This window comes from Homo sapiens, chromosome 14 (genome assembly GCF_000001405.40).
Source record: "Homo sapiens chromosome 14, GRCh38.p14 Primary Assembly".
Lineage (NCBI taxonomy): Eukaryota > Metazoa > Chordata > Mammalia > Primates > Hominidae > Homo > Homo sapiens.
The window spans coordinates 34,586,326-34,609,439 of record NC_000014.9 but is presented as its reverse complement, the minus strand read 5'-3'; the positions used below and the strand labels follow the sequence as shown (position 1 = coordinate 34,609,439).

At 43.6% G+C, this 23,114-nt stretch overlaps 1 protein-coding gene across 6 annotated transcripts in view; it reads left to right on the top strand.

The window, feature by feature from the left end:
* SNX6 (sorting nexin 6) overlaps positions 1–23,114 on the top strand; it is a 69,056-nt gene that overhangs the window by 20,709 nt on the left and 25,233 nt on the right. For 4 of the 6 annotated variants that reach the window (NR_159357.1, NM_152233.4, NM_021249.5 and 1 more), the window contains 5 exons: positions 1,300–1,410; positions 3,723–3,844; positions 5,969–6,092; positions 11,795–11,890; positions 16,290–16,395. Coding sequence is in view for 4 of the 6 variants with exons in the window: in NM_152233.4 (NP_689419.3) it covers positions 1,300–1,410; positions 3,723–3,844; positions 5,969–6,092; positions 11,795–11,890; positions 16,290–16,395 (559 nt within the window). In the remaining 2 variants the exon portion in view is untranslated. The remainder of the gene's footprint in view (positions 1–1,299; positions 1,411–3,722; positions 3,845–5,968; positions 6,093–11,794; positions 11,891–16,289; positions 16,396–23,114) is intronic. The other 2 variants (NR_159358.1, NM_001366519.1) reach the window with 1 other exon arrangement.

The following is a 23,114-nucleotide window of genomic DNA, read 5'->3' as shown; positions in this document are numbered from 1 at the left end:
GCACGATCTCGGCTCACTGCAAGCTCCTCCTCCTGGGTTCACGCCATTCTCCTGCCTCAGCCTCCAGAGTAGCTGGGACTACAGGCGTCCACCACCATGTCCGGCTAATTTTTTGTATTTTTTTCTTTTTTTAGTAGAGACGGGGTTTCACTGTGTAAGCCAGGATGGTCTCGATCTCCAACCTTGTTATCCGCCCAAAGTGCTGGGATTACAGGCGTGAGCCACCGCGCCCAGCCAAAATGTACTTTTTTTAGATTAATATTCTGAGAATCAGAACCTAGACAGAAGGCAAATTTAATTTTTTTCCAAATTTTTATTAGTATCTTTTACCATTCTTGTTACTTTCAATTTCATTGTTCTTTCTGTTAGTCAAATTACTGTCTTACAAATAATTATTATTACTATTTTTTTTGAGACGGAGTCTCTGTCATCCAGGCTGGAGTGCAGTGGCATGATCCTGGCTCACTCACTGCAACCTCTGCCTCCTGGGTTCAAGCAGTTCTCCTGTCTCAGCCTCCTAAGTAGCTGGGACTACAGGCACAAGCCACCACGCCCGGCTAATTTTTGTATTTTTAGTAGAGATGGGTTTCACCTTATTGATCAGGGTGGTCTCGAACTCCTGACCTCAAGTGATCCAACCCACCTCGGCCTTCCAAAGTGCTAGGATTACAGGCGTGAGCCACCGTGCCCAGCCACAAATTATTATTTTTATTAGATTTCAGTTCTTGAGCACATTTTCAGATTGCAGATTTCTTTCCTTTGTTTGAATAGTTGAGTTTGATATATATTAATGACATAACTTTTAAGTAACTGTAGCAGTACAATATAATAAGCCTGTCAACTTACTTTCCCAACAATCCGAAGATAATCTTGTCCATATAGCTCAGAGTTTTATGGTAGACTTAAAGGACACTAATGGTCTTGAAATAAGATGAATTTTTTTAAATGATAGAAAATATTTATTAAAAACTTTTTAAGGCCAGACACAGTGGCTCATACCTGTAATCCCAACACTTTGGGAGGCCGAGGCAGGATGATCGCTTGAGTCCAAGAGTTCAAGACCAGCCTGGGCATCTTAGTGAGACCTCATCTTTACAAAAAATAAAATTAGCCAGGTGTGGTGTAGTCCCAGCTACTCGGAGGCTGAGGTGGGAGGATTGCTTGAGCCTGGGAGGTTGAGGCTGCAGTGAGCCGAGATTGTTCGACTGCACTCCAGCCTGGTGGCAGAGCAAGACCCAGTTTCAAAAAACTTTTTAGTGTAAATTTGATTTTTATTCAAGAAAATCTCTATCTTTACAGAGTTCATTGCCAAATTTTAAACAAAACGAGTTTTCAGTTGTTCGGCAACATGAGGAATTTATCTGGCTTCATGATTCCTTTGTTGAAAATGAAGACTATGCAGGTTATATCGTAAGTATTGAGACTCCATTTTAATTCCATTTTCTAGGAGGTTTTAGGTACTTCGTTATGTTTTGGAATCTTGTTTAGCATTTTTTGTGAACTGTTTTTTTGTTTTGTTTTGTTTTGTTTTTGAGATGGAGTCTCACTCTGTTGCCCAGGCTGGAGTGTAGTGACGCAGTCTCGGCTCACTGCAACCTCTGCCTCCTGGGTTCAAGCAGTTCTCCTGCCTCAGCCTCCCAAGTAGCTGGGATTACAATAATGCACCAACACACCCAGCTAATTTTTGCATTTTTAGTAGAGACAGGGTTTCACCATGTTGGCCAGGCTGGTCTTGAACTCTTAACCTCAGATGATTCACCCACCTTGGCCTCCCAAAGTGCTGAGATTACAGGCGTGAGCCACCGTGCCCGGCCCTGTTATGTTTTTTAGAGACAGAGTCTCACTTGTGTTGCTCAGGCTGGAATGCAATGGCCTGATCTTTGTTCACTGTAACCTCTGCCTCCTGGATTCAGGCGATTCCCCTGCCTCAGTCACTTGAGTCGCTGGGATTACAGGCACCCACCACCATGCCCGGCTAATTTTTTTTGTTTTTTAAGTAGAGACGGGATTTCGCCATGTTGGCCAGGCTGGTCTCGAACTCCTGACCTCAGGTGATTCCCCCTGCCTCGGCCTCCCAAAGTTCTGGGATTACAGGCATGAGCTGCCACACTCAGCCTGATATGTTTTTTTAAATTGTCAGTTATGAAACGCCGCACTCAGCCTGATATGTTTTTTTAAATTGTCAGTTATGAAACATGTTTCGTTACCACCTTTTATCCTGAAGTGTTTTCTTAGGGGATGTGGGGTATGTTACATTCCCTCATTTAAACTTAATTTCTTACCATTTGTTAGAATTGAAATGGGCTTGTCCTAGGGATTAAGGAGATGTGACAAACCATACTGGTTTTAAAACCATGGTTGGGGCTGGGCACGGTAGCTCATGCCTGTAATCCCAGCACTTTGGGAGGCCGAGGCGGGTGGATCATGAGGTCAGGAGTTCAAGACCAGCCTGGCCAAGATGGTAAAACCTCGTCTCTACTAAAAATATTTTTAAAAATTAGCTGGGCGTTGTGGCTGGTGCCTGTAATCCCAGATACTTGGAAGGCTGAGGCAGAATTGCTTGAACCTGGGAGGCAGAGGTTGCAGTGAGTCAAGGTCCCACCACTGCACTCCAGCCTGTGTGACAGAGCGAGCCTCCATCTCAAAAAAGAAAAAGAAAAAACCATAGTTGGACAGATACTTAAGAGTTGGAAGTCTCGGCCGGCCACGGTGGCTGACGCCTGTGGCTGGGAGGCCGAGGCGGGTGGATCATCTGAGGTCAGGAGTTTGAGACCAACCTGACCAACATGGAGAAACCGCATCTCTACTAAAAATACAAAATTAGCCAGGCATGGTGGCACATGCCTGTAATCCCAGCTACTCGGGAGGCGGAGGCAGGAGAATCACTTGAACCCAGGAGGCAGAGGTTGTGGTGAGCTGAGATTACGCCATTGCAGTCCAGGTTGGGCAACAAGAGCAAAACTCCATCCCCCCAAAAAAAAAAAAAGAAGAGTTGGAAGTGTCTTTAAGAGGTTAACTAGCCCAGGTGCAGTGGCTCATGCCTGTAATCCCAGCACTTTAGGAGCCTGAAGTGGGTGGATCACCTGAGGCCAGGAGTTCAAGACCAGCCTGGCCAACATGGCGAAACCCCGTCTCTACCAAAAATACAAAAATTAGTTGGGCGTGGTGTCGTGCGCTTATAATCCCAGCTACTCCAGCCTGGGAAACAGAGCAAGACACCGTCTCCAAAAAAAAAAAAAAAAAGATTAGATAACTTTTTTTTTTTGGAGACAGGGTCTTCCTCTATCACCCAGGCTGGAGTGCAGCGGTGCGATTTTGGCTCACTGCAACCTCCGACTCCCAGGTTCAAGCGATTCTCATGCCTCAGCCTCCCGAGTCGCTGGGATTACAGGTGCCTGCCACCAGGGCCAGCTAATTTTTGTATTTTTGGTAGAGACGGGATTTTATCATGTTGGCCAGGCTGGTCTTGAACTCCTGACCTCAGGTGATCCGCCCACCTCAGCCTCCCAAAGTGCTGGGATTACAGGCGTGAGCCATTGCGCCTGGCCAAAACTTAATTTCTACAACTAGTCAAGTTCTCCAATCTGAATTTGGGTGTTCCTGGTGTTCAGCTCATTCTGGATCCCCTTAGCTTTCCCAGACACAGTCTTCTATGGTGGCAGTAGTACAATGCTTCAAGAAATGAAAATTTCCTTAAAATTAGTCATTTGGTCCTGTTACAGATTCCACCAGCACCACCAAGACCTGATTTTGATGCTTCAAGGGAAAAACTACAGAAGCTTGGTGAAGGAGAAGGGTCAATGACGAAGGAAGAATTCACAAAGATGAAACAGGAACTGGAAGCGTAAGTGATTTTTTTATTTTTTTGTTTTTTTTTTTTGGTTGTTGTTGCCTTTGTTAATTGTGCTTGCTTTAATGCCTTTTTTGGTGTTTTCTGATATCCCATCATTAAACCCTTTCTGGAAGATGCAGGTTTAAGTCATACAACCAGTATTAATGATCATGATCAGAGCCTACAGGAAAATTATAGAATAATTGTTTCCACTGTAAAGTTATTTAAATTCATATTTGAAATAGACCCTGAAAGTTGAAAATGGAAGATCCAAAAGCTTCTTTTAAAAAGGTAAAAGGTCCAGTCTGTCTTTGGACTTAAGGGGAAAAAGAAATAGAGAACATGACTTTTTAAAGTAGAATAGTCATTGTTTTTTTTTTTCTATTTACAAAGCCTTAGTCACTACCAACCTAGTTCTCTTTTTTCAATGTGGGCATATTGCCATACTTCTCAAAAGAGAATGTACTGAGCAACTGCATATATTCTGTTTTCTTAAAAACTGCGTATGTATGTAGTGTGAATTATCACAGTTTTTTCAAGAAACTAATACATTTCTAGTATATATGAAACTAATAGTCATTTAATGAAAAACAGTTTTTAACTATTCTTTAGTTACTTTGCTTCTGTATTCTTTTCCCTTTGGGCAGAAGCCACAGGCAGAGAAAAGAAGAAAGGGAAATTATGTACAGGTTGAGTATCACTTATGCAGAATCCCTGGGAGTGCATTTTGGATTTTAATTTTTTTTTTTTGGAGTATTTGCATTATACTTACTGGTTGAGCATCCCTAATCTGAAATCTGAAATGTTCTGATGAATATTTCCTTTGAGCATCATGTCTTTATTTAAAAAATTTCAGATTTTGGAGTACTTTGGATTTCAGATTTTCGGGTAGGGATACTCAACCCATATTTCGTTTTTAGTGTATTTGCTGAAAACACAGAATCTTTCCCCTTTTGTTAAACATTTGGAGTAATTTTGGATTTGCTGGATATGTTTCTCTATTTTGAGAGTTGTACAAGGAAATAATTTTCCTTAGTTATCACCTCTGTCACTTTTTCTGGTCATTTCTCCCCTTCATGCATTTCCTCTTCTCTTCTTCCACTAGTTTTAGTTTTTAGTTATATATTCACACTGCTACTATACTTCTCTTCAGGATGCTAAACTCTTGAAAAGATAAATCAGCAAAGCAGGTCTTAGTTGCAAGCAGCGGTCTGATAGCAGACAGATATATATTCAAAGTTTATAAGACTGAAAATTGGAAATGAGCAGAGCACATTAATATCGAAGAATCTGTGATTTTCCAGTGGCCCTGATCATGATTCTTTTGTGGTCTGGTTAGGGGTTGGATAACAGAGAACCTTGGGTTTATTCTACTGCTACCTCCATCCTCTGCATCCTTCTTTTTTGTCTTCACTGAATGACTACCCTCACAGAGATCAAACTTCTCCCATCATTGGTCCTGCTGGTTTGCTGGTATGTAAAACTTATCCTTCTTGCACGTAGTTGAAGCAAGAATATCAAGCCTTTTCCTTGAATGTTTTTTTTTTTTTTTCCCCCAAACTGACATGTATTACTTTGTGGTCTCTGGGATTCACTGCTGGTATTAAAATATTTTAAACACATTTCTTTGGTGTAATGGCAAAAAAAATTAGTTTCTTCATAGTGTGTTTCTTGTGTGTTTGGGTAATTAGATGAAAATAATTATTAACGTTGAAAATATGCTCACCGAGGTTTGGGTTTTAATTTTTTTTGTACTAAGTTGTTTAAAAGCAGTCATTGGATATTGAATCATTAAGATTCTATCAAATAATTTGTAGCACACTTCCTGTAGAGCTGAGAACAAGCAGCCCTATAGTTAACTTTAACATCAACTCGCATAAGTAAGAAAAATTTGTAAAACTTAAAAATATTAACATTTAGATATAAATATTATTAACTGGCATGAAACCTTTTTCAAAGCTGGGTTTTATGTATTTCATTAACAGTTCAACTAAAAACCTTGTTTACATGAATTATATCTTTGTATCTCTGATTTGCATTCGGAATAATCCAAAGAGTATTTTCTGAAAAAAATTGTTGCAGGTGACTTTTTAGTTGATGGAGTTTTTTACCTTTAATTTTGTATATTGTTTCTAGTGAATATTTGGCAATATTCAAGAAGACAGTTGCGATGCATGAAGTGTTCCTGTGTCGTGTGGCAGCACATCCTATTTTGAGAAGAGATTTAAATTTCCATGTCTTCTTGGAATATAATCAAGATGTGAGTATCACATTGATTGGTGGTCAAGTTTTCTTTTTCTTCTTCTTCTTCTTTTTTTTTTTGAGACGGAATCTCGCTCTGTCTTCCAGGCTGGAGTACAGTGGCATAGTGGCATGATCTTGGCTCACTGCAAGCTCCGCCTCCCGGGTTCATGCCATTCTCCTGCCTCAGCCTCCCTAGTAGCTGGGACTACAGGCGCCTGCCACCACGCCCAGCTAATTTTTTCTATTTTGAAGTAAAGATGGTGTTTCACCGTGTTAGCCAGAATGGTCTCGATCTCCTGACCTCATGATCCACCCACCTCGGCCTCCCAAAGTGCTAGGATTACAGGCGTGAGCCATAGCGCCCAGCCCAAGTTTTTTTTTTTTTTTTGAGACGGAGTCTCGCTCTGTCAGCCAGGCTGGAGTGCAGTGGCGTCATCTCAGCTCACTGCAAGCTCCGCCTCCCGGGTTCATGCCATTCTCCTGCCTCAGCCTCCCGAGTAGCTGGGACTACAGGCGCCCGCCACTATGCCCTGCTAATTTTTTGTATTTTTAGTAGAGACGGGGTTTCACTGTGTTAGCCAGGATGGTCTCGATCTCCTGACCTCGTGATCCACCCACCTCAGCCTCCCAAAGTGCTGGGATTACAGGCATAAGCCACCGTGCCCGGCCCCAAGTTCTCTTTTTAAAGAGTCATTGGAAAAGGCAAGAGTAGTTAGAAAAGGCTCAAGGTCTTTTTTTAGAATGTTTGTATTTTTCTTTTTTTTTTTTTTTTTGAGACAGAGTCTTGCTCTGTCGTCCAGGCTGAAGTGCCGTGGCGCAATCTTGGCTCACTGTGACCTCCTCCTCCCAAGTTCAAGTGATTCTCGTGCCTCAGCCTCCCAAGTAGCTGGGACTACAGGCGCATGCCGCCATGCCCAGCTAATTTTTTTTTTTTTTTTAAGACAGTTTCGCTCTTGTTTCCCAAGCTGGAGTGCAACGGTGCGATCTCAGCTCACCCACAACCTCTGCCTCCTTGGTTCAAGCAATTCTTCTGCCTCAGACTCTCAAGTAGCTGGGATTACAGGAATGCGCCACCATGCCAAGATAATTTTTGTATTTTTAGTAGAGACGGGGTTTCTCCATGTTGGTCAGGCTGGTCTCAAACTCCCAGCCTCAGGTGATCCTCCCACCTTAGCCTCCCAAAGTGCTGGGATTACATGCATGAGCCACTGCGCCCGGCCTAATTTTTGTATTTTTAGTAGAGATGGAGTTTCACCATGTTGGCCAGGCTGGTCTCGAACTCCTGACCTCAGGTGATCCACCTGCCTCAGCCTCCCAAAGTGCTGGGATTAGAGGCGTGAGCCGCACCTGGCCTGTTTGTATTTTTCAAGGTAGTTTAAGTGACACTTTTTCAGTAGTAATGCAGTTATTTCAGTAGAACTTGAGTAGATTAATTGACAGAATGATAGTTAAGCATGTTACTAGCCAGGCATGGTGGCTCATGCCTGTAACCTGTAATCCCAGCACTTTGGGAGGCCAAGCCGGGCAGATCACCTGAGGTCAGGAGTTCGAGACGAGCCTGGCCAACATGGTGAAACCCCATCTGTACTAAAAATACAAAAATTATCTGGGCATGGTGGTGGGCGCCTGTAATCCCAGCTACTCGGGAGGCTAAGACAGGAGAATCACTTGAACCTGGGAGGCGGAGGTTGCAGAGAGCCAAGATGGTGCCATTGCACTCCAGCCTGGGGGACAAGACTGAAATTCCCATCTCAAAAAATAAAAATAAAAAATAAATCATGTTACTACAAGGGACACTGATTTTTTTTGTAATCCTTAATTGCAAACCTCTTAAGAAGTAGGAGCCAGGCACGGTGGCTCAGCCTATAATCCAGCACTTTGGGAGGCCGAGGTGGGCGGATCACGAGGTCAGGAGTTTGAGACCAGCCTGGCCAATATGGTGAAACCCCGTCTCTACTTAAAATACAAAAATTAGCTGGGCTTGGTGGCGCATGCCTGTAGTCCCAGCTACTCGGGAGACTGAGGCAAGAGAATCGCTTGACCCCGGGAGGCGGAGGTTGCAGTGAGCCAAGGTTGCGCCACTGCATTCCAGCCTGGGTGACAAAGCGAGACTCCGTCTCAAAAAAAAAAAAAAAAAAAAAAAAGAAATAGGGTTATCACATTGACTAATGTTTCTTAAATTTGAGTTTGGAGTCTTCCGAAGCCTTGTGGAGAATTCCAAGGAGGTGATTGAGCTAAAGAATTCCAGATTCGGGTAAATTATTGACTCTGGATCTGTTTAACTGACCATTGGTGCTGATCACTCCTTATTTTTTCCTTCCCTGCCTAAAAACTCTCTTTTTTTTTTTTTGAGGCAGAGTCTCTGTCGCCCAGGCTGGAGTGCAATGGCACTGTATCGACTCAGTACAACCTCTGCTTCCCAGGTTCAAGCGACTCCTCTGCCTCCACCTCCCGAGTAGCCACCATACCTGGCTAATTCTTATATTTTAATAGAGACAGGGTTTCACCATATTGGTCAGGCTGGTCTCGAACTCCTGACCTCAGGTGATCTGCCTGCGTCGGCCTCCCAAGGTGCTGGGATTACAGGTGTGAGCCACCATGCCTGGCCGAGGTGATTGCACTTTAAAGATTTCTTCGTTCATAGTGCTGGCAAAAAATTTTTTACTGAATGACTGATACAAATCTTGGAACCTGTGTTTGGATGACAAGATTAATTCATAATTTTTGCAGAAAATAAATATAGCATAGTGCTCATGTACAGGTTAACCTCAAGATCAAAGAATTTGGGCCAGTTGTAGTAAGTCACACCTTTAATCCCAGTACTTTGGGAGCCTGAGGCAGGAGGATTGCTTGAGCCAAGGAGTTCGAGACCAGCCTGGGCAACATAGTGAGACCTGTCTCTTTTTAAAAAAAAAAAAAAGAAGAAGAAGAAAGAAAAATGCCGGGTGCGGTGGCTCATTCCTGTAATCCCAACACTTGGGAGGCCAAGGCAAGGTATTCACTTGAGGCCAGTAGTTCAAGACCAGCCTGGGCAACATGGTGAAACCCCTGTCTCTACTAAAAACGCAAACATAAGCTGGACGTGGTGGCGCTTGCCTGTAATCCCAGCTACTTGGGAGGCTGAGACATGAGAATCACTTGAATGTGGGAGGCGGAGGCTGCAGTGAGCTGAGATTGTGCCACAGCATGGGTGACAGAGTGATATTCTGTCTCAAAAGAGAAAAAAGAGAAAAGAAACTAAAATTTTTGAGTAAGAATGAGATGCTCAAAATTTGATTTTAGAAAGCTGTCCCAGGCAACAGAATGGATTGGAATAAGATAAGAATTATTAACTAATACTTCAGTCTAGGAAAGAGATGATGAAGACTTTTACTGGAGAGTAGGAGTGGAAAGGGACAGTTTTAAGTCATTTGCTGTTAGAATTTGAGCTATGAAGAAAGGAAGAAGTTATAAAAATTTCAAGATTTTAATGAGAACTATGGAATTTTAGGGAACATGTCGGAGTCAGAAAGACTGTTTGGATGAAGGGGCCACAGATCAAAAGAGGGAAGACAGAAATTTTGGAGATCAGATTTTTTTTTTTTTTTTTTGAGACAGAGTCTTGCTCTGTTGCCCGGGCTGGAGTACAGTGGTGTGATCTCCGCTCAGTGCAACCTCTGCCTCCCAGGTGCAAGCGATTCTCCAGCCTCAGCCTCCCGAGTAGCTGGGATTACAGGCACATTTCACCATGCCCGGCTAATTTTTTTTTTTTTTTTTTAGACAGAGTTTCGCTCTTGTTGTCCAGGCTGGAATGCAATGGCGTGATATTGGCTCATGGCAACCTCTGCCTCCTGGGTTCAAAAGATTCTCTTGCCTCAGTCTCCCTAGTAGCTGGGATTATAGGCGGATGCCACGACGCCCAGCTAGTTTTAGTATTTTTAGTAGAGACAGGATTTCACCATGTTCTTCAAGGCTAGTTTTGAACTCCTGACCTCAGGTGATTCACCCGCCTTGGCCTCACAAAGTGCTGGGATTACAGGCGTGAGCCACCGTGCCCAGCCCAGAGATTAGATTATAATGAGCACTGTGTTAGACTCATCTAATGTGAGGTTACAGTTACAGTCTCTGTGTAAGGAAATGATGTGGGCAATTGGATATAACATATAAAGTTAAGGAAAGAGCTTATGGGTAGTATTCTAGTCTGTTTGGCTGCTATAACAAAATACCTTAGACTGGGTAATTTATAAACAACAGAATTTATCATTTACAGTTCTGGAGAATGGGAAGCCCAAGATCAGGGTGCTAGCAGATTGCGTGTCTGGTGAGGGCCCTCTGCTTCATAGGTGGCCCTTTTTGTTGTGTCCTCACATAGCAGAAGGAAGGGGCAAGAGGGTAACATTCCCTCAGCCTCTTTTATAAGGACTAATCCCATTTATGAAGGCTCTACCCTCATGACCTAATCACTTCTCAAAAGCCCCACCTATTTTTAAGAGACAGAGTCTTGCTGTATTGCCCAGGCTGAAATGCAGTGGCTATTCACAGGTGCAGTTGTAGCACATTGCAGCCTCAAACTCCTGGCGTCAAATGATCCTCCCACCTCAGCCTCCCAAGTAGCTGGGACTCCAAGCAGGAGCCACTGTGCCTGGCTCAGGCCCACCTCTTCTTAATTATGATTACCTTGGGGGTTAAGCTTCAAGATATGGGCCAGTCGTGATGGCTCATGCCTGTAATCCCAGCACTTTGGGAGGCCAAGGTGGTTGGATCACCTGAGGTCAGGAGTTCAAGACCACTCTGACCAACACAGTGAAATCCCATCTCTATTAAAAATAGTTGGGCATGATGGTACATGCCTGTGGTCCCAGCTACTCGGGAGGCTGAGGCAGGAAAATTACTTGAACCCAGAAGGCAGATGTTGCAGTGAGCCAAGATCACGCCACTGCACTTCAGCCTTGGATGACAGAGGGAGACAGTGTCTCAAAAAAAATTTTTTTCATCCTGTGAACTTTAGGGGGACACATACATTCAGACCATAGCAGGTAGTGATAGAGATCTGTGAGTCATTTACATAAAGGTGAGCATTGAAGCAATGGAAGTACATGGGAATTAGATGAATTGCTCCTTTATGGGGCACCCTGATACAGCAAGTGCTAGGAGTCAAAGAGTTAGCTGCTGCTTGTTGGTTTTGCCCTTGGATAACCATTCATTTGTTCAAAGTCATCTTTTTTGTGTCCCTTGTGCTATTAATTGCTGACCCCAAAAGCCAGATGAGATACTTGGATGAGTTCAGAGTTCCAAATGTATAGGATATATATTCAGAGTTATTGCGGAATCATACAGTGGTATATTGTGCCCCAATAAATTTCACATGTTTAAAGGAACTCCCGAGCTAAAATTTTAATTGTCTGTTAAAATTTTATATAGCAGTGTTTGACAAAATATGGTGAGAGGGCTGCTTGCAACAGAATTATCAGATATGCTCATAAAATGTGAAATATCTAGGCCTTCTTGTAGACCAGCTGAACCTGAATCTTTGAGAGTGAGTCCTGAATATCTATATTATTACCAAACTCCTTTTTTATGCCCTAAAATTTGAAAATCATTGATGTGCATGATGAAATTTCCACTTTATTAAGATTAAAAACTAGGATCCTTTTGAGATTGCCATTTAAATATCAAAGAATAAAGGAGGCACTGCTTTCCATTTGTAACCTTAAAAATGTTAAATTACCTTTCTTTCAGTTGAGTGTGCGAGGAAAAAATAAAAAAGAGAAACTTGAAGACTTCTTTAAAAACATGGTTAAATCAGCAGATGGAGTAATCGTTTCAGGAGTAAAGGTAAGATTTTATTTGATTAACTGTGGTATTAGTTGAGACTTCTTTTAAAAGGGAGATAGATTGAGATTTCAAATGTGCAGAATTAGAGTAAAAGACATTTGGACGGTTAGAATCTTCAGTCCTAGGAACAGGAGGAATCCTCCTGACCTAGATTCCTCTCTTTAGAGCGTTCCCTTCTGCAACGGATGAGAAGTCTTAAGCCAAGGGAATTTGCCCAACTGAAGCCCACACCCCTTCCCTTCACATCAGACCAGGTTCCAGGTTTCTAGAATCCGCTGTCTCCCTACCCAAATCCCAAGCCTTGCAGTTCCTATATGGGCAACTTCCTGAGTTCATGCCATTCACGTGTATTCCATGAGTGGTTAAGGGGTTACCATGGGGCAGGTGGGTGGAGGGGAGGGACAGTGTGCAATGTGGAATGTCCACCCACATGCACATGAAGTCCTCCTAGATGCAGGACAGACAGAGCTGCAGAGTTTACCAAGAGGTACTGCTTCTGTTTTTACATTTAACATTTAGCCTTGGAAATGTTAGGGGCAGACCTAGGTTCAGCTTTGGAGTTAGAAGATCTCAGTTGAGGCCGGGCAAGGTGGCCCATGCCTGTAATCCCAGCACTTTGGGAGGCCAAGGTGGGTGGATCATTTGAGGTCAGGAGTTTTCGAGACCAACCTGGTCAACATGGTGAAACCCCGTCTCTACTAAAAATGCAAAAATTAGCTGGGTGGTAGTCCTGCGTGCCTGTAATCCCAGCTACTCGGGAGGCTGAGGAACCTAGGAGGCGGAGGTTGCCGTGAGCTGAGATTTTGCCACTGCACTCCAGCCTGGGCGACAGTGAGAACCTGTCTCTGTTGTCCTTGGGAAAAGTTACTTTCTTTTCTTTTTCTGGATCTCAGCTTTTCCATTTTCTCTCTCTCTCTTTTTTTTTTTTCCTGAGATAGAGTCTTGCTTTGTTGCCCAGGCTGGAGTGCAGTGGCATAATCTCGGCTCACTGCAACCTCCGCCTCCCAGGTTCAAGCAATTCTCCTGCCTCAGCCTCCTGAGTAGCTGGGATTACAGGCACATGCCACCACGCCTGGCTAATTTTTGTATTTTTAGTAGAAACGGGGTTTCACCATGTTGGCCAGGCTGGTCTCGAACTCTTGACCTCGTGATCTGTCTGCCTCGGCCTCCCAAAGTGCTGGGATTACAGGTGTGAACCACTGCGCCCAGCCAGATTTTCCATTTTCAAAATAGGGTTAATAATACCACCCACCTTACTTACTTATTAAAAAGATTGAATGAGATAATATGTGTGGAAAACACCTATATTTTTCTTTTTTCTTTTTTTTTTTTGGAGACAGAATCTCACTCTTTCGCCCAGGCTGGAGTGCGGTGGCGCGATCTTGGGCTACTGCAAACTCCGCCTCCTGGGTTCACACCATTCTGCCTCAGCCTCCGGAGTAGCTGGGACTACAGGTGCCCGCCATCACGCCCAGCTAATTTTTTTGTATTTTTAGTACAGATGGGGTTTCACCATGTTAGCCAAGATGGTCTCCATCTCCTGACCTCGTGATCCGCCCACCTTGGCCTCCCAAAGTGCTGGGATTACAGGCGTGAGCCACCGCGCCCGGCCGAAAACACCTATACTTTTCTTAATGATGTTCTAAAAATGGTATAAGAGTTGATTTATCTGAAGATTCTTACCATTAAAATATGAGAAAAATGTTTATATTATCAAGCAAATACTAGGAAAAAAAAGAATGCTGCTTTGTCATCATTGCCTGTTTTTATAGACACATCCATAATAAAATCGGTGTGTAGAGTACTATTTGATTTATACTCTGATTTTTCAGAGACAGGTCAGTGGATACTTGACAGTGCATGTGCTGTGGCTGCTTTCCAAGAAGCACTCAGCTTACTTCCATTTGATGCTGCTTATGCATTAATATCAACCATTTTTCTTAGCCATTAAATGTAAACCACTATGTTGATTATAATTTTGATAATTTTATTAATAGAATAATAACATTTTTGAACACTTATAATGTGTTGATTGGTAGCCCACATTTTCTTGTGTGATCTTAATAACCCTGCCAGTTAGTTTTATCCATATTTTTACAATTAAGAAAACTGTGGCCGGGCACAGTGGCTCACGCCTATAATCCTAGCACTTTGGGAGGCCAAGGCAGGCAGATCACCTGAGGTCAAGAGTTTGAGACCAGCCTGACCAACATGGAGAAACCCTGTCTCTACTAAAAATACAAAATTAGCCAGGCATGGTGGCACGTGGCTGTAATCCCAGCTACTCGGGAGGCTTTTGAGGCAGGAGAATTGCCTGAACCCCGGAGGCAGAGGTTGCAGTGAGCCAAGATTGTGCCATTGCACTCCAGCTTGGGCGAAAGAGAGAGAGGGAACTGTTACATATTATGAATTATGAATTTTATTTTAATATTTATTTTTTATTTTATTTTGCATTTTGAGACAGGGTCTTGCTCTGTTGCCTTAGGCTGCTGTGCAGTGCCCCAATCTCGGCTCACTGCAACCTCTGCCTCCCAGGCTCAGGCGATCCTCCCACTTCAACCTCCCAAGTAGCTGGAACTATAGGTACGTGCCATCACACCCAGCTAATTTTTGTATTTTTTGTAGAGACAGAGTTTTGCCATGTTGCCCAGGCTGAACTCCTGGGCTCAAGTGATCTGCCCACCTCGGCCTCCCCAAAGTGCTGGGATTACAGGTGTGAGCCACTGTATCCAGCTGAATTACAGATTTCAGTCACATTTTGTCAGTACTGACTCTTGCTGCTTGTGTTCTGTTGATATGGGTCTCCAATTATATCCTGTCAGCAGATGCTTTTTCATTTAATGATTGGTAATGTAGAAGGGGGTAAAATACTATTAATTTTATTTTTGTGCCAGGTGCAGTGGCTCACTCCTGTAATCCTAACACTTTGGGAGGCTGAGGCAGGTGGGTCACTTGAACTCAGGAGTTTAAGACCAGCCTGGGCAACATGACAACATGACAAAACCCTGTCTCTATAAAAAATACAAAAATTAGCTTGGCGTTGTGGCATGCGCCTGTAGTCCCAGCTACTTGGGATGCTGAATCAGGAGGATTGCTTGAGCCAGGGAGGTTGAGGCTGCAGTGAGCCATGTTTGCACCACTGCAGTCCAGCCTGGATTACAAAGCAAGACTCTGTCTGAAGATAATAATAATAATTTTTATTTTTAATGTATATCTAGCTTTGTTTCAAAAAAAAAAAAAAGGTTGAAGACAGTGGTTAATCACATTGTTGCTCTCAGATAGTTTGGTCAGGTTCCTCAGTGCAGTCAGAAAGGGCCTTAATGACTAAGGCTAGGCAGCCTTCAGGAATGGCCAGTAGAATGTATAACAGGCCAAGAAAAATAGATTTTCACTTCTGTCCACCAGAACTGTTTTCTTTTTCCTTAAAAGGAATTGATCACTTCTGCTGGCAATAATATGTTTATTGAAGAGCAAAATTGTAGAGGCAGATCACAAATAAGAACATGTTTCAGAGTACAATATGTGAGGCCAAGTGCGGTGGCTCATGCCTGTAATCCCAGCACTTTAGCACGTTGGGAGGCCGAGGCGCGCGGATCACTTGAGGTCAGAAACTTGAGACCAGCCTGGCCAACATGGCGAAACCCTGTCTCTACTAAAAAAATACAAAAATTAGGCTGGGCGTGGTGGGTCACATCTGTAATTCCAGCACTTTGGGAGGCCGAGGTGGGCGGATCATGAGGTGAGGAGTTCGAGACCAGCATGACCAATGTGGTGAAACCCTGTCTCTACTAAAAATACAAAAAAAAAAAAATTAGCTGGGCGTGGTGGCGCTTGCCTGTAGTCTCAGCTACTCAGGAGGCTGAGGCAGGAGAATCACTTGAACCCAGGAGGCTGAGGTTGCAGTGAGCCAAGATCGCGCCACTGCACTCCAGCCTGGTGACAGAGCGAGACTTTGCCTAAAAAAAAAAAAAAAAAGAAAAGAAATTAGCTGGGTGTGGTGGTGTGCACCTGTAGTCCCAGCTATTGGGACGCTGAGGCAGGAGAATCGCTTGAACCCGGGAGGCAGAGGTTGCAGTGAACCAAGATCACGCCACTGCACTCCAGCCTAGGTGACAGAGTGAGACTCCATCTCAAAAAAAAAAAAAGAGTACAGCACGTGAACTTGGACCTATATGGGGAGCACTAAGCCTTCAGTTGCAAAGTCATAGAAGATTTCTTACTTGATAGATAGAAATGCATGTCTATTAAAGTCTTGTTGGTGAAATTAGTATAATAACATCTGACTGAGGATAGGTATGCTATTTTACTGATGATCTTTTATATTTATAATGATAGTTATTTACATATAAAACTAAAGCAAATAAGTGAAAAAAGTTTATATTTTCTTTTGATCTTATAGGATGTAGATGATTTCTTTGAGCACGAACGAACATTTCTTTTGGAGTATCATAACCGAGTTAAGGATGCATCTGCTAAATCTGATAGAATGACAAGATCCCACAAAAGTAAGATTTTTCTGTGGCTAAAGCTTATATCTTTTAATGGAATAATTATAAAGTTCATATTATAGTTTGAAAAAGTCTTAATATAGAGCAGTAGTTCTCAAACTGGTCTGTTGGAGCCTAGGCTCCATGGCCCTTTTATAGTGAGCCTGTGAGGTCAAAACTATTTTCAGCTGGGCACAGTGGCTCACGCCTGTGATCACGACACTTTTGGAGGCTGAAGCGGGAATATCACTTGAGCCCAGGAATTCAAGACCAGCCTGAGCAACAGAGTAAGATCCTGTTTGTATTGCACCAGCCTGATATAAAAAATAAAATTAGCCAGACGTGGTGCCGCATGGCTGTGGTCCCAGCTACTAGGAAAGCTAAGGTGGGAGGATGCCTTGGGCCTGGGAGGTTGAGGCTGCAGTGAGCTGTGATGGATCGTACCACCATACTTCAGTCTGGGTGACAGAGTGAGACTGTCTAGACAGCAACAAAACAACAACTATTTTTATAATGATACTGTGATAGTTTTTGCCTTTTTCACCATGTTGACATTTACACCGATGATGGATAAAGTTGCTGCTGCGTAATTACATACAAATCAAGTCAGTGGCAACAAACTGGACGAGTAGTCTCTATATTCTTTCCGGCCATGCACTTGCTCTTTTTTTTTTCTTTGAGACAGAGTCTCTATCGCCCAGGCTGGAGTGCAGCGGTGCAATCTCAGCTCACTGCAACAACCTCAGCCGCCCAAGTTCAAGCAGTTCTCCTGCCTCAGCCTCCCAAGTAGCTGGGATTACAGGCACCTGCCACCGCGCCTGGCTAATTTTTGTATTTTTAGTAGAGATGGGGTTTCACAGTCTTGGCCAGGATGGTCTTGAACTCCTGACCTCATGATCCACCCGCCTTGGCCTTCCAAAGTGCAGGGATTACAGGCGTGAGCCACCGCACCTGGCCACTTGCAATTTTTAAGACATGTGACTTTCACTTAAGAATGCCCTTGATGAAACAGTAAAAATTGATTGTAATCTCTACCCTTGGGTATACATTTTTAAATATTCTGAGTGATGAAATAGGAGGTATGCATAAAGCACTTTGGCTACATACTCAAGTATGATGGTTCTCTAGAAAAGCATTTTAGTGATAGAGTTGTGATTGAACTAGCTAATTTTTTCGTAGAACACTACTTTTACTTTAGAGAATGACTGATAAACTGTTTATGAATATTTGGCAAATGTTTTCTCAAAAATCAACTAATTATTTAAATTAGAGGAACCTGGCCAAAAATCCATCAGTTATTTCAAGGAAAACAAAGGTAGTATTTGTTGCCAATGATAAGTCAAGCTTCAAGCAATAATTCGAATTTTGGAAAACTTTATCTCTCTGACCATGAGCTTACTTCCCAATAGATACTGGACTGGTAGTCTGTATGTTCTTTCCTGCCATGCACTTGCAATTTTTTTTTTTGAGGCGGAGTCTCTGTTGCCCAGGCTGGAGTGCAATGGTACGATCTCGTCTCACTGCAGCCTCTGCCACTGCCATTGCCAGGTTCAAGCAATTCTCCTGCCTCAGCCTCCCAAGTAGCTGGGATTACAGGCGCCTGCCACCGTGCCCGGCTAGATAGACCAATAAAGACCCATATAGAGATTGATGATGATACTAGTGAATGTGATTTTTTAAAAAATTGTACATTGAATTGTGTCACCACTTAGAACATCTGCATAATTCATTGGACCAATGTTTTCTAAACGGCCAAGTGCATAATGCTACAAAATCATATATGTAAAAGAACCACTCAAAGTGCAAAATAGACCAGTGAGGGTTTTTTTTTTAACAGCTTTGTTGAGTGTAATTGATATCAGTAAGCTGCAGTAATCAAAGTGTACAATTTGGTAAGTTTTGGCATGTGTGAAATCCTTACCACAATCAAAATAATGAACACACACATCACCCCCAAAGTTTTCTTGTGGCCCTTTGAAATCTCTCCCTCCTGCCCTATCCCCAGGCAGCCACTGATCTGCTTTCTGTCACTATAGATTAGTTTGTATTTTTTAGTATTTTATATAAATTGAATCATACAGTATGTATTCTTTATTGTCTGGCTTTGAAACTCAAAAAACTATTTTGAGATTCATCCAAGTTGTTGTGTATATCGATAGTTCATTTCTTTTTGTTGCTAAGTAGTGTTCCATTGAATGGATATACAACAATTATTTATTTCTAGCTTTGGCTATTACAGATACAATTTATGTGAGCCATTTCTATATAACTTTTTGTACGGACATGCTTTCTTTCTCTTGGGTAATACCTAGAAGTAGAATGCCTGAGTCATGTGGTAAATGAATATTTAACTTTTTAAGAAACTACCAATTTTTTTTTCCACAATGGTTGTACCATTTTGCATTCCCACGAGCAGGGCATGAGAGTTCCAGTTGCTCCACATCTTTGCCAACAAGGATAGTCAGTCTTTTTTTTTTCCCCAGTGGAATTTGAAGTCTTTTTAACTTTATTCAAGTAGGTCAGTGGTGGTAACTCAGTGTGGTTTAGATTTGTATTGTCCTAATGACTGTTGAGGTTCAACATCTTTTCTTGTGTCCTTCTTCCTTCAGCTTTATTCTTTTTTTTTTTTTTTGAGACGAAGTCTTGCTCTGTCGCCCAGGCTGCTGGAGTGCAGTGGCGGAATCTTGGCTCACTGCAAGCTCCACCTCCTGGGTTTACGCCATTCTCCTGCCTCAGCCTCCCGAGAACCTGGGACTACAGGTGCCCGCCACCACGCCCGGCTAATTTTTTGTATTTTTAGTAGTGACAGGGTTTCACTGTGTTAGCCAGGATGGTTTCAATCTCCTCACCTCGTAATCTGCCCACCTCAGCCTCCCAAAGTGCTGGGATTACAGGCATGAGCCACTGCTCCTGGCCCCAGCTTTATTCTTGTTGTTGTTGTTTTTTGTTGTTGTTGTTGAGACAGGGTCTCGCTCTGTCACCCAGGATGAGTGTATTGGTGCAAACATGGCTCACTGCATCCTCAATCGATCCTTCCACTTCAGCCTGCCAAGTAGCTGGGACCACAGGCATGCGCCACCATGCGTGGCTAATTTTTGTTGTTGCTGCTGAGGGGGTAGAGACAGGGTCTTGCTATGTTGCTTGGGTTGGTCTTGAACTCCTGGACTCAAGCAGTCCTCTCACCTTGGCCTCCCAAAGGGCTGACATGAGCCACCAGACTCCATTTTTTTTTTTCCCTAGACAGAGTCTCTCTCTGTCTATCCAGGCTGGAGGGCAGTGGCACAATCTTGGCTCACTGCCCCACCCCCGTCTCGTGGGTTCAAGTGATTCTCATGCCTCGACCTTCCCCATAGGATTACAGGTGTGTGTCACCATGCCTGGCTATCTTTTGTATTTTTTTTTAGAGATGGGGTTTTGCCATATTGCCCAGGCTGGTCTCGAACTCCAGGTTTGAAGTGATCCGCCCACCTCAGCCTCCCAAAGTGCTGGGATTACAGGCGTGAGCCACTGTGCCCAATCCCAACTTTATTATTTATCACAGTTGTTTTTGACCCTTCTTAGAATCTTTATGTTTTCTTTGTTTTTTGTTTTGTTTTGTGTTTTTGTTTTTGTGAGACAGAGTCTCATTCTGTTGCCCAGGCTGGAGTGAGTGGCGTGATCTCAGCTCACTGCAACCTGCACCTGCTGGGTTCAAGCAGTTCTGCCTCAGCCTCATGAGTAGCTGGGATTACAGGCACATACCACCAAGCCTGGCTAATTTTTGTATTTTTAGTAGAGATGGGGTTTCACCATGTTGGCCAGGCTGGTCTCAAACTCCTGACCTCAGGTGATCTGCCCACCTCGGCCCCCAAAGTGCTGGGATTACAGGCGTGAGCCACCGCCCTCAGCCCTAGAATCTTTATATTTTCTTTTTCCTTTTATTGATACAGAATCTCACTCTGTCACCAAGACTGGAGGCTGGAGTGCAGTGACGTGATCTTGGCTCACTGCAACCTCCGCCTCACAGGTTCAGGCAATCCTCGTGCCTCAGCCTCCCGAGCAGCTGGGACTACAGATGCATGCTACCACACCTGGCTAATTTTTGCATTTTTAGTAGAGACAGAGTTTTGCCATGTTGGCCAGGCTGGTCTTGAACTCTTGACCTCATGTGATCGACCTGCCTCAGCCTCCCAAAGGAGGGAGCGATTACAGGTGTGAACCACTGCCCTCAGCCCTAAAATCTTTATATTTTCATATGAATTTTAGAATCAGCTGTCTTTTTCAACACAAGGGCCTGCTGGGATTTTGATTGGGATTGTGTAGATTCTATAGATTAATTTGGAGAGAACTGGCATCTTAACAATATTGATCCTTCTGATACATTAATATAGCATATTTCCACTGACTCAGGTCTTCGTTAATTTATCTCAGCAGTGTTTTGTAGTTTTCATTGTATAGATCTTATACATCTTTAGTCAGATTGGTTCCTGATTATTTGGTTTTTTATGCTATTATAAGTTTTATGTTTTATTAGGCTGGAGACAGTGACTCAAACCTGTAATTCCAGCACTTTAGGAGGCTGAGGTGGGTGGATCGCTTGAGCTCAGGAGTTCGAGACCAGCCTGGGCAACATGGTGAAACCCAATCTTTGCAAAAAATAGGCCGGGTATGTTGGCTCATGCCTGTAATCCCAGCATTTTGGGATGCTGAGGCAAGGGGATCACATTAAGTCAGGAGTTCGAGGTCAGCCTCGCCCACATGATGAAACCACATCTCTGGCTGGGCGCAGTGACTCACACCTGTAATCCCAGCACTTTGGGAAGCTAAGGCGGGCCGATCACAAGGTCAAGAGATCGATACCATCCTGGCTAGCACGGTGAAACCCTGTCTCTACTAAAAATACAAAAAATTAGCTGGGCGTGGTGGCGGGCGCCTGTAATCCCAGCTACTCAAGAGGCTGAGGCAGGAGAATGATGTGAACCTGGGATGCAGAGCTTGCAGTGAGCTGAGATTGTGCCACTGCACTCCAGCCTGGGTGACAGAGTGAGACTCTGTCTCAAAAAGAAAAAAAAAAAAGAAACCCCATCTCTACTAAAAATACAAAAATTAGCTGGGCATGGTGGCATGCCCCTGTAGTCCCAGCTACTTGAGAGGCTGAGGCACGAGAATCACTTGAACCCGGGTGGTGGAGGTTGCAGTGAGCCAAGACCCCACCACTGCACTCCAGCCTGGGTGGCAGAGTCAGGCCTTATCCCTCCCCCGCCAAAAAAAAAAAAAAAAAAAAATTAGCCAACCGTGGTGGCATGTGCCTGTGGTCCCAGCTACTTGGGAGGCTGAGGTGGGAGAATCACTTGAGCCCAGGAGCTTGAGACTGCAGTGAGCCGTGATCATGCCACCGTGCTCATGCCTGAGCAACAGAGTGAGACCCTGTCTCCAAATAAATAAATTTTGTTTGTTTGTTTGTTTTGAGATGGAGTCTAGCTCTATCGCCCAGGATTTTTGTCTCCAAAATCTTAGATGCCCTTTTTTTTTTTTTTTTTTTTTTTTTTTTGAGATGGAGTCTTGCTCTGTCGCCCAGGCTGGAGTGCAGTGGCACGATCTTGGCTCACTGCAACCTCCACCTCCCGGGTTCACGCCATTCTCCTGCCACAGCTTCCCGAGTAGCTAGGACTACAGGTGCCTGCCACCACACTCGGCTAATTCTTTTGTATTTTTAGTAGAGATGGGGTTTCACCGTGTTAGCCAGGATGGTCTCAATCTCCTAACCTCATGATCTGCCCGCCTTGGCCTCCCAAAGTGCTGGGATTACAGGCATGAGCCACCGTGCCCGGCCATGTTATGTTTTTTAAAATTTCAATTTCAAATTGTTCTTTGCTAATACATAGAAACACAGCATATTTTTTTCAATATTGATCTTATATCCTGCAACCTTGCTAAATAAACTCACTTATTAGTTCTAGTAATTATTTTGTAGATTCCTTAGGATTTTTACATAGATGATCATGTCACGTCTATTAATGAAGAAAGTTATACTTCTTATTTTCCAGTTGTTTTTTTTTTTTTTTTTTTTTTTTTGAGACAGAGTCTTGCTCTGTTGCCCAGGCTGGAGTGCAGTGGTGTGATCTCGGCTCACTGCAACCTCCGCCTCCCGGGTTCACGCCATTCTCCTGCCTCAGCCTTTCCAGTAGCTGGGACTACAGGTGCCCACTACCATGCCCGGCTAATATTTTGTATTTTTAGTAGAGACGGGGTTTTACCGTGTTAGCCAGGATGATCCTAATCTCCTGACCTCATGATCCACCTGCCACGGCCTCCCAAAGTGCTGGGATTACAGGCATGAGCTACTGCGCCCGACCTCCAATTTGTTTTTTTGTTTGAGACGGAGTCTTGCTCTGTCACCCAGGCTGGAGTGCGGTGGCGTGATCTTGGCTCACTGCAACCTCTGTGTCCTGGGTTCAGATGATTCTCCTGCCTCAGCCTCCCGAGTAGCTGGGATTACAGGCATGTGCAACCACACCTGGCTGATTTTTTTATTTTTGATAGAGATGGGATTTCACCATGTTGGCCCAGCTGGTCTCAAAACTCCTGACCTCAGGTGATCTGCCTGCCCCAGCCTCCCAAAGTGTTGGGATTACAGGCATGAGCCACCATGCCTGTTGCTTGCGTTATTTTCTTTACTAGAGTGTCTCATATTACACATTGTTTGAGAGGTAATTGCTCAGTAAGTATTTTTAAATCTATGAATAGGTATACTAAAT